Source organism: Homo sapiens, chromosome 17, assembly GCF_000001405.40.
Source record: "Homo sapiens chromosome 17, GRCh38.p14 Primary Assembly".
NCBI lineage: Eukaryota > Metazoa > Chordata > Mammalia > Primates > Hominidae > Homo > Homo sapiens.
This window is the reverse complement of record NC_000017.11, coordinates 27,417,192-27,433,120: the sequence shown is the minus strand read 5'-3', so window position 1 is coordinate 27,433,120 and position 15,929 is coordinate 27,417,192. Positions and strand designations below refer to the sequence as shown.

The window sequence follows — 15,929 nt, the reverse complement described above, 5'->3', positions numbered from 1 at the left end:
AAACAACCCACATAGCAGCACAATTTGTAATAGCCTCATAGTAGAAACTTCCAAAATACCCATCACAGAAGAATAAATAAAAAACCATGGGACATTCAAGACTAGAATACTATACAGCAAAGAAAATGAGTAAATTGTGGCTACAACATGAATGAATCTCACACAGCTCATGTGTGAGCGACAGAAGTTAGACCTATAAGAATAGGTCTATAAGAATAATATCTATAAGAATAGATAATGTGTGATTCCATTTATATGAAGTTATCATCAGGCAAACTAATCTCCAGTAAAAGAATTTACCTCGGGGTGGGGGTGCAGGGAATTGAGCCTTCTGTGGGGCCTGAAATGTTTACAGTTGCCCCTCAATGTATGTGGGGAATCAGTTTCCCCATCTCCCACAGATACCAAAGTCCTGATATAAAATGGTGCAGTATTTGTATATAACCTAAGCACATCTTCTTGTATGCTTAAAATTATCTCTAGATTACTTATGTGATCATGTGTCAGATAACGACATTTCAGTCCATGCCAGAATGCATATAGGATGGTGGTTCCCATAAGGCTATAATGGATCCATCCTATACAGGTGTACCATCTCTAAAAATTGATATTTAAGAAGAGATGGGGCCTTGTTATGTTGCCCAGATAGTCTTGAACTCCTGGGCCCAAGTGATCCTCCCATTATGGCTTCCCAGAGTGCTGGAATTATAGGCATGAACCACCACAGCTGGCGAGGTGTACCATTTTGTATTGTTTATACTGTATTTTTATGATCCTTTTCTGTGTTTAGATACACAGATAGCCACCATTATGTTACCATTTCCTACAGTACTCAATATGGTAACATGCTGTAGAGGTTTGGAGCCCAGGAGCAATCAGCTCTACCACTCAGCCCAGGTGTGTGTTTGGCTGGACAACCTGGAGGAAGCTAAGGAGACATGACCTAAAGGCAGAGGGTGAGTCAGAGGTGGGATCCCTGGACAGGTATGAGAAGCTAGGCGAAAACGGGTGAAGTCTGAATAAATTTCACCCTATTCATATAATTACTGCATTAATAACCTTAGATAATAGTTCACATTATCATTTAGTTAATAGGATTGCACCCATGTTAAATTTCTTATTTTGTTTTTTTAAGAGACAAAGTCTCACTCTGTCACTTAGGCTGGAGTGCAGTGCTGTGATCATAGCTCACTGCTTCCTGGAACTCAATTGCTAAAGCAGTCTTCCCACCTCAGCCTCCTGACTAGGTGGGACTACACACACACGCCACCACGCCTGGCAATTTCTTTTACTTTTCTCTAGAGAAAGAGTCTACCTATGTTTCCCAGGCTGGTCTCAAACTCCTGGGCTCAAGTGAACCTGAACCTCCTGCCTCGACCTCTCAAATTGCTGGGATTACAGGCATGAGCCACCACACCTGGCCTAAATTTCTTATGTGCCATGGTACTGCAAAATGTCCTTATTAAGGGCAGCTGGATGGAAGGTGTACGTGTAAAATCATTTCAACAGTAAACATTTATTTTACAACATGAAGATGGTTATCCTTCCATGAGTGTAAAGTATAAAGGCAGGCTCATGGTGTCGTCAGAAGTCAGGTTTCAGGGCTGGGGGTGCTGGGAAGGGCTGGGCATGGTTGGCTTTGTGATCTGGGGGCTGGTGTGTTCCATCTCTGAATGTCTTTTGAGCTGTGCACTTACCAGGGATGTAAGTCATATCTTAATAAATTTTCATAAGTTTAACAAAAAGTAAAACGAGGATGGGAAGCTTGTTTGGGATCTCGGGTGCTTATCTAGCCATGAGCCCTGGCCCAGATGCTTCTAGTAGCCTGGAGGGAACTGAGAACATTCAAAATAGAGGTGGCAGAGCCAAGGCCCCGAGGTGGAAGCGCACTGCTGCTTGTCCCTAGCTGTGAATGGGGTGTCCTGCTCGGAGGCAATGCTGTGTGCACTGCAGGGCCCACAAGTCCATGTCCATATTGTGGCTCAGTGCAGTGAAAGCCAATCTCAGCCCCTTCGCAGTGTGGTCAGCCTGCCAGCAGGTGGCCAGCTGATCCTCCTGGGAAATTGTGCCATCCCAGGGACTGGGTGTGAGTCTCTCATCCACAAATGTGGTGTCAGCCTGGTGAGCCTTGGAAAGGGCATGTGCAGGATGCTGAGCCTCTTCCATCCTCATGCCGGTCTCAAGGCCACTCGCTCCGTGGGCCCATCCAGCAAGTGTGGTGGCTTGGAAAGAAGCCGGCTCCATCCACAGGGCATGCTGTTTTGCTCAACTCAGGACCAACATCATCCTCCATAGTAATTCTCTTTGGTGGGAGTACTGGAAACATGAATAACAGATACCTTCAGAGTCTGAGCTGCTGAGGCCAGGGCTGCAGGGTGCCCTCCTGTCAGGAAAACCTGCACTGGCAGCTGGAAGGCACCTGGTCGTGGTGTCTGCAAGGGCTACAGCAGTGGCTGCAAGGCTTCGGGACTCACCCGGCTTCTGTGAGGTGAATTGTGACAGTGGCAGAGCTCTGCAGCGCCAGGGTCCCCTGCATGGTCATACTGACTGCAACTGGGAGCCCACCACACCCCTGGTGCCCCTCTCTTCCCAGGGCTGGGGTCTAGACCAGGCCCCTCTTGCCTGGGAATTATGCACTGGGAGGGGGACACAGGCCCGCAGATTGGGACAGAGGCCCCAGGGCATGCTGCTGGCTGGCCGGGGCTGCCATGCTCACCTCTCTGTCTCTCGTGGCCTTGGTGGGACCGGCCTCCCCATTGAATGGGATTTTCCAGGTGTCTGGGGCTGCAGGGCAGCTGGCGGGGTGCCACCCTGGCTTCGGTGACCAGATGCAGGTGCCCATGTTGCAGCGGGGTTATCTCCCGACCTCCCTCTTAGTCCTGATGGGCCTGGGCTGGGCCCGGTGTCAGGGTCCCCTTGGGCTCCCTGGGCTAGGCCTGTCCCATGGTCCCGGGGCTGTCCAGGACACATTTAGAAGGGACATGGACCCAGCAGCTCTGTTTGAAATCGTCATGGGGGAACCAAGGGCCCCCCACATCCAGGTCCGTCGGGAGCTGGAGCATAGAGTTCCACTGCAGGAATCTCCAGGAACGCCGAGGTCCTCCCTGAGCCGGGGCCAGGCTGGGCATGCCCTGAGTCCCAGGTGCCCCCAGAGAGTGGTCTGCTGCCCTGGGCTCCCCAGAAGCCCCCACATGTTCCTGGGCCTTGGCCTCATGGACAGCCCCACCAGGACAGGGTGTAGGACGAGGTGGAGAAGCGGACCAAATGGGCCGCTGGAACCGGGCTGGTGGGCCGGGAAGGGCCTTCCTGTCCCCCTTGCAGAGGGTCTTCCCGCCATGTGATGCCAGCACAGACCTGGGTCCTGAGGACCCTTTCTCGGGTTTTGCTGAAAGGAAAACAGACGTGGTCAGTGTCTCCAGTGAGCCCATGCAGGCCTTTCTGGGCTGGGCCCCACCTGCCTGGGTCTCTGGAGTCCTCAGGGTCTCTGTGTGGCCCCTGTGGTCTGACACTGATGACATGCCTATAGTCTGCTGATCCCAGAGGAAGGGTTGTGTGCCGCCTGGTGTGGGGAAGCTGCCTGGGCATGGCAGGTGGCTTCTGGAACTGCCCCCAGGGTTCAGCCTCGCTGGGGGCTTCCTGCCACACACCCTCATCCCAGGGCTATTGGGCCTGGGATATGGCCCCCAGTCAGAACTCAGGTGGGAGGGGCCTTGGATGTCACCAGCCCCTTGCCACTTCACATGGGGACCCGTCTCCACAGTGGGTGACTGGGCCTGGACGTGGGTCACCCTCTGCCCTCCTGGGCTGCCCCGTCCATACCAGGACTGACCGTTCCCACACCTGGCTAAACACTTGGCTCTGGCTCTGGGCCAGGGGTCCCACCTGTGCCCTCTCTCTGAATGCTCTATGGGTAAGAGACACTGATTCCCTTGTCTCCCTGGCTCAAGGCTTGTTGTCCTGGCACCCCTGGAGGAGTCTGCAGGAGTGAAGGGCCTCTGTTGCTCTCTGAGGCTGTCAGCGCTTGCAGGGAGGAGTGGAGGCTCTCACAAATGGGTCTGGCTCCTCCAGTGCCCTTGAGAGCCCTGTGAGGGGGAGAGCAGGCCACCGTGGGAAGTGGGAGGGGGCTTGTTGGAGGGTCTTGCCCACATCCCCCTCCTGCGTGCACAGCACATCCAGTACATATGCACTGAGCGCCTGCCCTGAGGAATGGTGGGCCTCCTGTATTTTCTTAGAGTCCAGGAGGAAGAGGAGGAAGAAAAGGTGAAGAGGAAGACCCAAGTAATAGGGTTAGGGGTCCTGGGTACTCCCCCAGTATTGACTGCCCCAGAGGGTGACTCAGGAGGGGACCTGGTACTGGAGCCCACCTGGGGGTGGCAGGTCCCCATGCTTCCTTGTTAGTTTCTTCATAGAGGCCCAAAGATGATTAAGAACAGCGTCATCCACAAACAAATGGGAGAACATTCCATGCTCATGGATAGGAAGAATCAATATCGTGAAAATGGCCATACTGCCCAAGGTAATTTATAGATTCAATGCCATCCCCATCAAGCTACCAGTGACTTTCTTCACAGAATTGGAAAAAACTACTTTAAAGTTCATATGGAACCAAAAAAGGGCCCGCATTGCCAAGACAATCCTGAGCCAAAAGAACAAAGCTGGAGGCATCAAGCTACCTGACTTCAAACTATACTACAAGGCTATAGTAACCAAAACAGCATGGTACTGGTACCAAAACAGAGATATAGACCAATGGAACAGAACAGAGCCCTCAGAAATAATACCACACATCTACAACCATCTGATCTTTGACAAACCTGACAAAAACAAGAAATGGGGAAAGGATTCCCTATTTAATAAATGGTGCTGGGAAAACTGGCTAGCCACATGCAGAAAGCTGAAACTGGATCCCTTCCTTACACCTTATACAAAAATTAATTCAAGATGGATTGCAGACTTAAATGTTAGACCTAAAACCATAAAAACCCTAGAAGAAAACCTAGGCAATAGCATTCAGGACATAGGCATGGGCAAGGACTTCATGTCTAAACACCAAAAGCAATGGCAACAAAAGCCAAAATTGACAAATGGGATCTAATTAAACTAAAGAGCTTCTGCACAGCAAAAGAAACTACCATCAGAGTGAACAGGCAACCTACAGAATGGGAGAAAAATTTTGCAATCTACTCATCTGACAAAGGGCTAATATCCAGAATCTACAAAGAACTCAAACAAATTTACGAGAAAAAAACAAACAACCCCATCAAAAAGTGGGCGAAGGATATGAACAGACACTTCTCAAAAGAAGACATTTATGCAGCCAAAAGACACATGAAAAATGCTCATCATCACTGGCCATCAGAGAAATGCAAATCAAAACCATAATGAGATACCATCTCACACCAGTTAGAAAGGCGATCATTAAAAAGTCAGGAAACAACAGGTGCTGGAGAGGAGGTGGAGAAATAGGAATACTTTCACACTGTTGGTGGGAGTGTAAACTAGTTCAACCATTGTGGAAGACAGTGTGGTGATTCTTCAAGGATCTAGAACTAGAAATATCATTTGACCCAGCAATCCCATTACTGGGTGTATACCCAAAGGATTATAAATCATGCTGCTATCAAGACACATGCACACGTATGTTAGTTGCAGCACTATTCACAATAGCAAAGACTTGGAACCAACCCAAATGTCCATCAATGATAGACTGGATTAAGAAAATGTGGCACATATACACCATGGAATACTATGCAGCCATAAAAAGGATGAGTTCATGTCCTTTGTAGGGACATGGATGAAGCTGGAAACCATCATTCTCAGCAAACTATCACGAGGACAAAAAACCAAACACCGCATGTTTTCACTCATAGGTTGGGATTGAACAATGAGAACACTTGGACACAGGAAGGGGAACATCACACAGCAGGGCCTGTCATGGGGTTGGGGGAAGGGGGAGGGATAGCATTAGGAGATATACCTAATGTAAATGACGAGTTAATGGGTGCAGCACACCAACATGGCACACGTATACATATGTAACAAACCTGCATGTTGTGCACATGTACCCTAGAACTTAAAGTATAAAAAAAAAAAAAAAAAAGAACAGCGTCATCATCCAGGGCCCAGATATGGAAGAACTGGTCTCGAAAACGTGCCCACAGGCCAGACCTGGACATCTTCATGTGGCGCTCTAGGGACAAGGTGGGTATCAGGCCAGGAGAGTTCCCTGGGAAGGGTCAGAGCCCACACCCCGTGACCACTTCAGTCTCCCACTGGGCAGTGCCAGATCCTTTTGTGGCCACCCCAGGGGTCCAGATGTGCACAGAAGGCTGTGGCTGGGGAGGCAGCCTGGGCAGGGAAGTGCTCATCACACTCCTGACTTTCATCTGGGTCATGTGAGGGATGGGCTTGGTGTCACTGTGCCCTGCCCAGCCCACCTGGCCAGACCTCCCTCTGGGCCAGAACAGAGAATCATGAGAACAGTGTGAGGAAGCTGCCCTTGGGCTAGTTGGGGTCTGACCCCAGTGCTCCCCAGGCCCCACTGGGCACACGTGGACTTGCTCCTCTGAACCTTAAAGGCAGTGCTTGTTATCAGCATCAACATCTGTTCCCCTTCCAGCAAATATATGTCCCACAGGCACGGGGTGAGCCCGAGAGAGATCTGTGGGGAAAGTAGGCATGAGAGGACCTGGCCCTTCCAGGCTGGGGCTGGTGGCTCGAGCTAGCCCATTGGGGCTTCAGTGACCTTCCCCATGAGAGTCACCGGACCCCTCCAGGAGGCTGGGTCAGACAAGGTCTTGCAGCTCCTTATGGGGGGGCACTCATTTCAGTGGAGAGAGGGGCTTCCCCAGGGCTTGAGCCTCCCCTCAGCCCTCCCAAGTCAGGCCCTGGCCCAGTCTGCCCTTAAGGCTGGGCCTGAGCCCCACCCTCTGCCCTGGAATGACACCTCTTCGGCAGAGGGTCTTGCCTGTGTGTCATGTAGGGATCTGCCTGAGCCTCCTGTGGGCTGGGGGTGAGCCGGACCCCTGGGCTGGGGAAGCAGGGCACTGCAGGGCAAGGAGGGTCCCTGAGCCAGGGTCTCCCTGTGCCTCCTTACCCCATCATTCAGCACCCAGAGAAGCCAGCTGAATGAGGAACCCTGTGTGCATTGACCTTCCTTGTCCTGATGGGAGGAACAGAGGTACTCAGGGCCCCATGGGCTGCCCTAAAAACCTCCCTCTTCCAGGGCCCTCTGAAGACCCTTCCCCAAGTGCAGAACACTGGGCAGTGTCCCGGGCTCCCCCCAACATCTTCCCCTTCTGGCACTCCCGGTAGACACACTACCCTTAGCCCTGCTCTGTGGGAGCTGGGCCCCCATCCCTGTGCCTCTGTCGCCTCCAGGGCTGGAAAGGAAACCCAACTCCCAGCCCATGGGGAACCCGACATCCCAGGTCAGGCCCTGGCTGGGACTCAGCCTGTCCCCAGCCCCATGAAGGGCTCCAGCCCCCGCTGCTCCTCCAGCCCCCTAGGATGCAGGGCCTCTGGGGAAGAGCCGAAGGAACCATAAACTCACCAGATGACACATGGTCTTGGGTTGTTACATGGGTACCACATGCTCCTGATGGTCTTGGAGCCCCTGAACTGTCCCGCCATTTGGGCTGTGGAATCCTGAGAAGCCCCCAGCCCATCATGAAATCAGAGCCCTCTCCCAAGATGTGGAGCCATCAGCTGGAAGAGCTGGGCAGCTGCAGAGCCCCCCAGACCCCGAGGCCTCCCACCCTCCCATCTGGTGACCCCACCATGTGGCCTTGGCCCTGGGGAGGGTGATGAGAGCTTCCCCTGGAGCCTGGCTGGAGGTGCCCCTGGAGGCCTCCTGGGCCAGGGTGCCGGGAGGGCAAGCCTGACTTTGAGGCCACGACAGGGGGTGGCCAGAATAGGGTGGGTGCTGGGCTTCGTGGTCGTCTCCTGGAAGTGGGGCCGGGCCAGGGGACACGGGATGGGGAGATGCTGCCATCTGGGCTTGGTTGGCCCATTTGTGGGTACCAAGGGAAGCTGGAGCCTGGGCAGCTGAAGGGCAAGAGGACTCTCAGGGAGGAGAGAGTCAGCTGCACAGAATCAGAGCCAGAGGGCGTGGCTCCATGATACACAGGGCGGCCTTGGGGAAGATGAGATGCCTTCTGCTGATGAAGATGAAAGGTGTCTGACTTGGGCTCTGGGGGTCAGCCCCGGGCTCCTGTGGGACATCCTAAAGGCTCCCAACAAGCTGGCAACACAAGGAAGGTGTCTTCAATAAAAGCCGAGATCACTTGGCCAGGGTGGCTCTCTCTGGGTCTGACCGCGTGAGGCAGAGACATCCTAAAGGCTCCCAACAGTTAGCTGGTGACACAAGGAAGGTGTCTTCACTGAAAGCCGAGATCACCTGGCCAGGGTGGCTCTCCCCGGGTCTGACTGCATGAGGCCCCGGGAGCCGCTGTCCACCTACCCTGCAGGGAGAGCCTCTCACTGGCCAGCAGCTGCGCCAGTGCCTAGAATGCATCCTCCTCAGGCAGATAAAGGAGGAACAAGGCAGTGACATGGCTCAGGTCCCTGCAGTAGCCCACCTCCTGCAAGAGCCAGAGTCACCGTGGAAGGACATCACCTGGGAGGGCTGAGGTCACCTGGGAGGACTCATGTCATCAGAGAGGGCAGAGGTGACTGGGGAGGCTTCCTCTGAAGAAGAGGCTTCCTCAAGATGCAAATTCATTTTATGACGACAGCTATGTCCATTGGGCCTTTTAGCACCTTGTCCAAAATGTCTCCTGTTAGCACCGTCCTGCTTGTGACACTGCCAAGCTCCTGAGCTTTGGGGCAGCCCCAGGAGGAGGGCATCATTTCTTGTTCCAAGAAGGGGTGGTCAGGCCCAGGTGACACCAGGAGTCCAGGCCCGACTCCTTTGTGTCTCAGTGAGACCCCTTGAGACCACCCCCCTTGCTTGGAGGTTTATGCCAGCAGTGGGCTGGAGTCCTACCTCCTATATCCTGGTGGGTCACAAATACTAACTTTAAAAGAAGCAATGACACCCACACCAGACACCCATGCCCGGGAATATGGAAATATGGACCGGGAATATAGCCGTGAACATGGGAATATGGTCACTCCCTGGAAATACTCACTGGGTTATACTCTGAATATGCCAGGAGGATGTAGAATAGTTCCCGCTGCCTAAAAAACAGATACAGGGGGCTTTTGTTTCTTTTGTGCAGATGTTAGTTTCACTTTGTCTACAAACCCTAATAACAAATCCAATTTCAGGTTCAGATGATTCACCAGATAAGCAGTGAGCTCTTCAGGGCCTTTGACTATTTAAGAAATGTTTCAGTAAAATCCACATCTGTGAAATGCTAATAATAGCCCAGTTGTACAGTGAGTTGACTGATCATTTTTGCTCTGATTTTTGTTTTTTGTTTCTTTGTTGTTGTTGTTGTTTGTTTTTTTTTTGTTTTTTGTTTTTTTTTGGTTTGCACGCACGCCAGTTCAGTCTTTGGGTATACAGTTCTTCCATGGTTCTAAACCAATGTGCAGAGCCTTCTGGAGCGACTCCTTCATCCTCCAAGTCTCCAGGGTGGTCTCTATGCAGCCAGCCTCTCCCCGATCCGTCAGTCCCTGGCCACTCAGAATGGTTCTCAGTCCCTATGGTTTGGCCTTGTCCAGAATGGTCTATGATTGGAATCCTACAGCGGTATCTTGTTGACTCTGGCTTCTTTCCGTTAGCAAAATGCATCTAGGATCCACCCACGTTTGTGCGGACATCACTGGCTCGTTCCCTTTTCTCACTGAGTCTTCTACCGTTTTAGGGAGGACCAGCCTTCCTCTCCGCATTCCCGTGTTGAAGGTCGTTCCCGAAGGCTCCATGTATGTGTGATGAGGAATCAAGCAGTGAATGTGGCATGCAGGTTTCATGTGACGTCAGTTTTCAAATCAGTGGGTTCAATATCTGTGACACTTTGGGGACGTGGAGTTCAAGTCCATTGAGCTTTGTGAGCCACTGCCCAACCAGCTGCCAAAGTGGCTGTGCCATGTCACGTTCCCAGCAGACCTGGATGATAATTTCCAGGAAACTGAATCCCCCCAGCATTTGGTGCTGTCAGTATTGCCTGGGGAGGCTCATGGGCCCTCCATCCTGCTGCCCTCCTGTGGGTCCTACCATGGGTCTCCGTGGGTCAGGGAGAGCAACTTTCACCATTGTGCATGATTTTCTTTGCTGCCTTCTGTCTCCGCAGGATCCTCCTGGGTTCTGGCCCCACATGTTCCAGCCTGGCACAGGGCTTAGAACCTGGGAGGTGCTCCGTCCATGGTGCCGGCTGCTCCCTGGGCCAGGGGAGCCCTTGGCAGCTCTGTCGTCCCTCCTGGGTGACCCTGGATTCTGCTCCGGGGAAGTCCCCATCCCTCTGGTTTACCCCATCTCTGCTGGCACCCTGTGGCTCCCATAGGCTTACTTGACTCCATATCGATCCCTGAAGAAGATGTGGTTCCCTAGTGTCCAGCTCATGTCCAGGTAGACCTGGTGGATGTGTTCAGAGGATCTCTTGCCCTTCTCCTTCATGACCTGTAGGACAGGGCCAAGAGGAAGAAACAGCCTCAGAGCAGATGGAAGACTCCCTGCCCCAAATGGTAGTCAGCCCACAGTCAGCACTTCTGGAAGGAAGGAAAGAAAGGCTTCCTTCTGCAGAAAGCTGCTTTTTGGCTTGTTTCTGAAGCTGGGGAGGGTCTGTGGTTCCTATGTCACCTTCTGTGCTTAGGATGTGCATCTGACCATGGTACCCACTCCCCCAGGCTGGGCAAGACATTCCCTCTAGCTGGAGAACTGGGCCCTGACCCAGCCTGGCCTGTTTGTTGTGCTCTGGCTTAGCATACCTGGTATTTTCTGGGATTTTTCATCTTGATTTCCTGAATGTTCAGGAGGACTGACCACACCTGGCCCTGGATGTTCATGGGAATGCCCTTATACACTCAATCAATTAGCTGTGGGCAGAAAACGATCTGGTGTCACAGGCCATGGGATGACCCCAGCCAGGACCAGAGCCCGAGGATCCTGGAAATCTTTGGTTTTGGCCCCATGATTCCTCGGTAAAGGTGAGGTCAAGCTGGGACAGGGTCTCCCTTCGCAGGATTGAAAGAGTGTGTGGGCACTCAGAGTCCTGAACTCTGATCTGGACCTTTTCTTTCCTTCGGGTCAGCAGGAGGCATCCCCAGCCCTAGATTCAGATTCCCTCTCAGCAAGGTGATGCTTGCATGAACGGGCAGTAAAGCTGGCAACCAGGCCTGCGGTCCTCTGGGTGAGCACTGTGTGCCACCTGCCCTCTGAGAGGCTGACGGTGCCAGGCCACAGCCATGGGTGCCTGTCCCCTGTCTCTGCAGAGAGTGGTTCTGGGGGCCTCTCCCTCCACACATTACTTTTTTGCTGTTCTGATATGTCTCCCATTCTCCCAGCATTTCCATCCACTTGCTCTTTCATCTCATCTCCTGCCGCATTTGCTGTCAAATGAGGAATGTTGGAGTTAGCGGAGCTGCCAGGCTTCGCAGAGCCACCCGTGGATGCTGGGTCTTGGGCTCTGGAGCCCTGGTGGGACCCAGCTAGAAGGAGCCAGGGAAGGGCAGACCATAAAGGCTGAGGGCCTTTGAGCAAATGAGTGCCAGTGGGCTGGCCTTGGGACCCTGGGACGTGCCATCCTCAGGCCACAGACACACCAGTCTTAGGTCAGGTCCCAGTCTCTAGGTGGGGTCCTGACACAAGCGGGCAGCCATCCCCAAGCCAGGACTGTGGTTCTCACTTTGGAATTTCATCAAACTGCCAGAGATACAGTAAGCTGGGGTCAGGTCCAGCAGGGACAGCTGCCCCTCCAAGTGACAGCGTGTTGCCCCCACCTGCTACCGCCCAGGCCCGCTGCTTTCTCTGCCTCACTGACCACTCGCCGAGTCCCCCCGTCCCTGGACCAGCCCCCCCATGGATCAGGCTCTTACCTTCACCTCCCGGGCTCTGACCGGGCAGTTCCTTCTCACTGTAATGCAGCCCAGGCAGAGCTGAGGACTTGCACAAGGTTTGGAGCCATCTCGGTCTGGGAGCCGACCCCCAGAAAGGACTGGCTCTGTCCCATCCAGCTCAGGGCTCAGCCTAGGAGAAGGCACAGGGAAGGGAAGACAAGGGCCTTCCTGTGGGGCTGACTCCCAGGAAGGTCCAGGACCTGGGAGAAGAGGGAGTGCAGGGCCAGCCTGGCCGAGGCTAATGGGGCCCCTTGGTGTGGGGGGTGGTCAGGGTGTAAAATGGGGGCTGCCCCCCTGGACTGGAAGTAATGCTTTGTGCTTGAGCTGAGAAAGGTCAGCCCCGAGATGGGATGGGGTGACCGGGCCCTGACAGGAGTCCCTCTGGGAGTGACCACGTGATGTGGACCTGCCAGGGTCTAGGGTACACCGGGGGCCCATCCCACCCGACATTCCCAAGGCCCTTGCAGGGTCTGACCTCCCAGGGTCCACCTGCCTCTCCCTGCACCCAAGCCACACACACTGCATTTCAGAAGTGGCATGGCTCATAAGCTCCCTCCCACCCTACCTCTCTTGGCATCCTCCATCTCTCCATTCTATGATCCCTGAGGGATGGGCTCCAGCCTGGGCTCCTCTTACCTGGCCCCAGATCCCTTCCCAGCACCAGACCCAGGGTCATTAGCTGCAAGCTCTGCTGCCTCCTTGGCCTCACCGTGAGATGCCCAGAACTGGGCCCTGCCCATCTTCTCCCCCATTCCCCTAAGGCCACAGCCCCTACTGTCCCCATGCCTTTCCCCCTTCCCCATGGGGACAGTGAGGGCTGTAGCTCTAGGGAAATGGGGGTGAACAGGGGCAGGTGGGCCCTCAGAGACCTGCTGGACAACAGCCCCGAGGCTGGACCAGGCGTCTCCTCACCCTGTGGCCACAACCCTTGGATCTCACTGGGGTTGTCTCCAAGTGAACAGGGCCAGACCCTCAGGCTGCCCCCCTCCTCTTGTGCTAACTCGGAGACAGAACTGCTGAGAGCCCAGGGGCCTGACCTAGCCCCCTCTCCATTCCCACCCACTCCCTAGATGGGCCCCGCACCACTGGCCTAACAACAACCTCAGGCTGGACCTGCAGGGGAGCCAGGGAGGAGTTCTGATCCTGGAAAGGAGGTTGGCCCGACCTGGGCAGACATGTTCTGCTTCAGAAAGTCCCTTCTAAAAGTAAACCCATCCCTAAGCTGAAATAAGTGCTTTAGGGGCTGAGGGGAGCACAGAGGACTCACTGCAGAATCCCAAAGCGATCAGTGCTGCTGTAGATTCCAACAGGCTTTAGGCCCCGTGTCTGCTGGCAGCCCAGCTCGGTGTCCCTGTAATCCAGAGGGAGCCTTGATGAGGGGTCCAAGGTAACGGGTGCAAGGGTCTGGGGGTAGTGGCCACCCGTCCCTGCCCTGTGCTCCTAGGGAGCCCAGGATCCTTTGAGCAGGGCACACTGGAAGAGGCCTCCCTCCAGGGAGCAGACGGACCTGTACGTTCTCATACTTCATAATGATGTCCTCTCACTCCTGCAAAGTATCCACATCCTCTACCATGTCCATCCTGTGAGACAAAATCATCTAAATGTTACACTGTACCTGAGACCTTCGGAGAATACCTAAACCGCTCCCACCTGGCTCCCAGATTCTGCCTGGCGGTGTAACCCCCCTTCCACCACTGCCCTCAGGTGAAAAGGGGCCAGACCCAGTGGCCCACACCTGCATGGGTCTCTGGAGTCTCAAGCCCCAAGCAGGGGTGGGCATCTTCCCAAGGACTTGAGAATACTGGGACCTGGACAGAGAATCCTGTTGTCCCCAAATGCCATGAAACGGGTACACACCTGCCCCAGCATGTTGAATGGTGTCCACCTGCCAAGGTTGAAGGGCCCATGATGGGCTATTCCAGGGATGTGGAGGCAGACTGGGGTCAGGGACCAGAGGTCTCTGTACAGTCGGCCTCCTGGGATGCTCAGGGACCACAGAGATGCCCAGTTTCCTACGGGAACAAGACCTCTCCTGACTGCTCGGTTCTACTCCACTCATCACTTGGGCTACTGTGGCCCTTCAGTCTCACCAGTGAAGCCACTTTAGGAACAACGCCAGTTAAGCAGGAGGGTGTTTGGTTTGGGGGATGAAAATAATCTACTGTCTCCAAAGCAGCCCCTATGCTCGTGGAAACCACATCTCTCGGGGAGGGACGGTGGACTCCACCATTCTGAGCTATCCATACAGGAGGGGGCTTCATTTTCCTGGGTCACTGAGGAAGAACAGTGGGTCCTTGGTTCTGGAGAACACCTAGATGGACCATCCCTCCTGGGAACACTCAGGGCAAAAGGAGGGTGAGGCCTCGAGAGGATCAGACAGAGAAAGAAATACTTGCGGAGAACCCCAGTACCTGGACCCCTTTTAACAGGAGGGAAGACAGTCTCCCTCCAGCCAGCTCACCAGGGATCCTTCATTTTCCACGACTGCCCAAAGGCAGAAGGCTCCCCATCCCACTCTCGGACAAAGGACCATGTGTGTTCAGTGGGTCCCACAGGGACCATCAAGACCCAGCTTAGGGCACAGATGTGTTCTGAGGACCCTCCCCTCCACCTCACCCACAATGGATCCATCTCAGTGGCTCTGCCATGGCGAGGCTCTGCCCCATCCCAGTGGGGATCAGAAACCCTGGACAGATTTGGGATCTGGGGCAAGGAGGCCGCAGGGTTCAGGCCTGAAGTCCAACATGGCACAGGGCAGGGCCAAGAGCAAAACCCAGGGTCCTGTTGGGATTCCCAGGCCAGTTACCGCCTCTCTGACCCCAGACATCTCACCTGTCAAATGGGTACATGCGGGAGCCACCATGAGGATGAAAGAGACAACTGTCCACACGGGCAGCGTAGAACGGGCACCCGGTGAGTGTTCAGGGATGACCCTCCTCAGCACGTGCCCAGAGGCCAGCACCACCCACACCATTAGCCACTGTCCCCAAGTCAGCATGGAGGGAAGAGAGCAGGTCACACTCACCTGATTCTGATGAATCAGCTGGCCTGGGTTACGCCTCTCAGGGAGAAAACCTTTGAGTCCACAGAGCTGCTCACAGATACCACTGTCTGTGTGTAGCTGCTGTAGAACACAGAGGCAGGGCAGAGAGCGGACGGGTGCTAAGCACCAGTGACATTCTGAGATAAAGGCAAGCATCACAAAGGCGCCTTGCCTGGGTCAGCAGGGCCCAAAGTCAGCATCCTGCATTGCCTAAGGCATCATCATGCTTGCGTGCCATGTGTTTGCACATGTGTGTGCACACATGTATGTAGGTAAACACATCTGTGCACATGTCTGTTGCTTCTCTGGCCAGGCCTGGCTGCCTCACCCATGTGTGCACCCAGTTCCTTGTCACTGTCACCCCCTGGGCTCAGAGCCAGCATCACAGCATCCATGGGTGCTCCCTAACCTCAGCCCTCCCCGCCCAGGGTGGTCCTGGGATACACATAGGGGTGGAGGGAAGTGATTGCTGCTGTTGGATCTCAGAATAAAAATGCGAATACTATTACCTAATGATCTTTTTAGTATCTCTAATGGTATGTCTTTTTTTATTTCTGATATTTTAACTGGGTATTTCTCTCCATGACCCTTGGTTATTCCAGCTAGAGAATCCTGTGGGGAAAGTGCCCGGCACACAGTAGGGGCTCACTCTTCTAGACATGTTATCTAAAATCTGGCTTATTCGTCATTCCACCCAAGGCATCCTAGGGGATGCCAAATTCCAGGGGCCAGAAAGAGCTTGGGATAAAAAGAACATTCAAGGGGAGGGCTTTGACTTTGGCTGAGCCTGCCTGTGCCATCCAAACCTGGAGCCTCAAGTCCTGAGATAGGGCATCCAGATGCCCCAGTGCAGGGCCCTCCTGACTGACACTTACTCCCTTGTACT

At 54.0% G+C, this 15,929-nt stretch overlaps 1 pseudogene across 1 annotated transcript; it reads right to left on the bottom strand.

Annotated features, from left to right (window-relative positions):
* Positions 1 to 1,497: 1,497 nt before the first annotated feature.
* Positions 1,498 to 15,116, bottom strand: TBC1D3P5 (TBC1 domain family member 3 pseudogene 5; annotated as a pseudogene). Its single transcript, NR_033892.1, has 13 exons — positions 15,026 to 15,116; positions 13,858 to 14,012; positions 13,508 to 13,580; positions 13,268 to 13,351; positions 11,980 to 12,130; positions 10,873 to 11,493; positions 10,455 to 10,564; positions 9,132 to 9,180; positions 7,553 to 7,647; positions 7,097 to 7,162; positions 6,562 to 6,661; positions 2,717 to 3,385; positions 1,498 to 2,316 (listed from the first exon to the last, which is right to left on the bottom strand). The product of NR_033892.1 is annotated as a TBC1 domain family member 3 pseudogene 5 (transcript).
* Between the last annotated feature and the right edge of the window lie 813 nt (positions 15,117 to 15,929).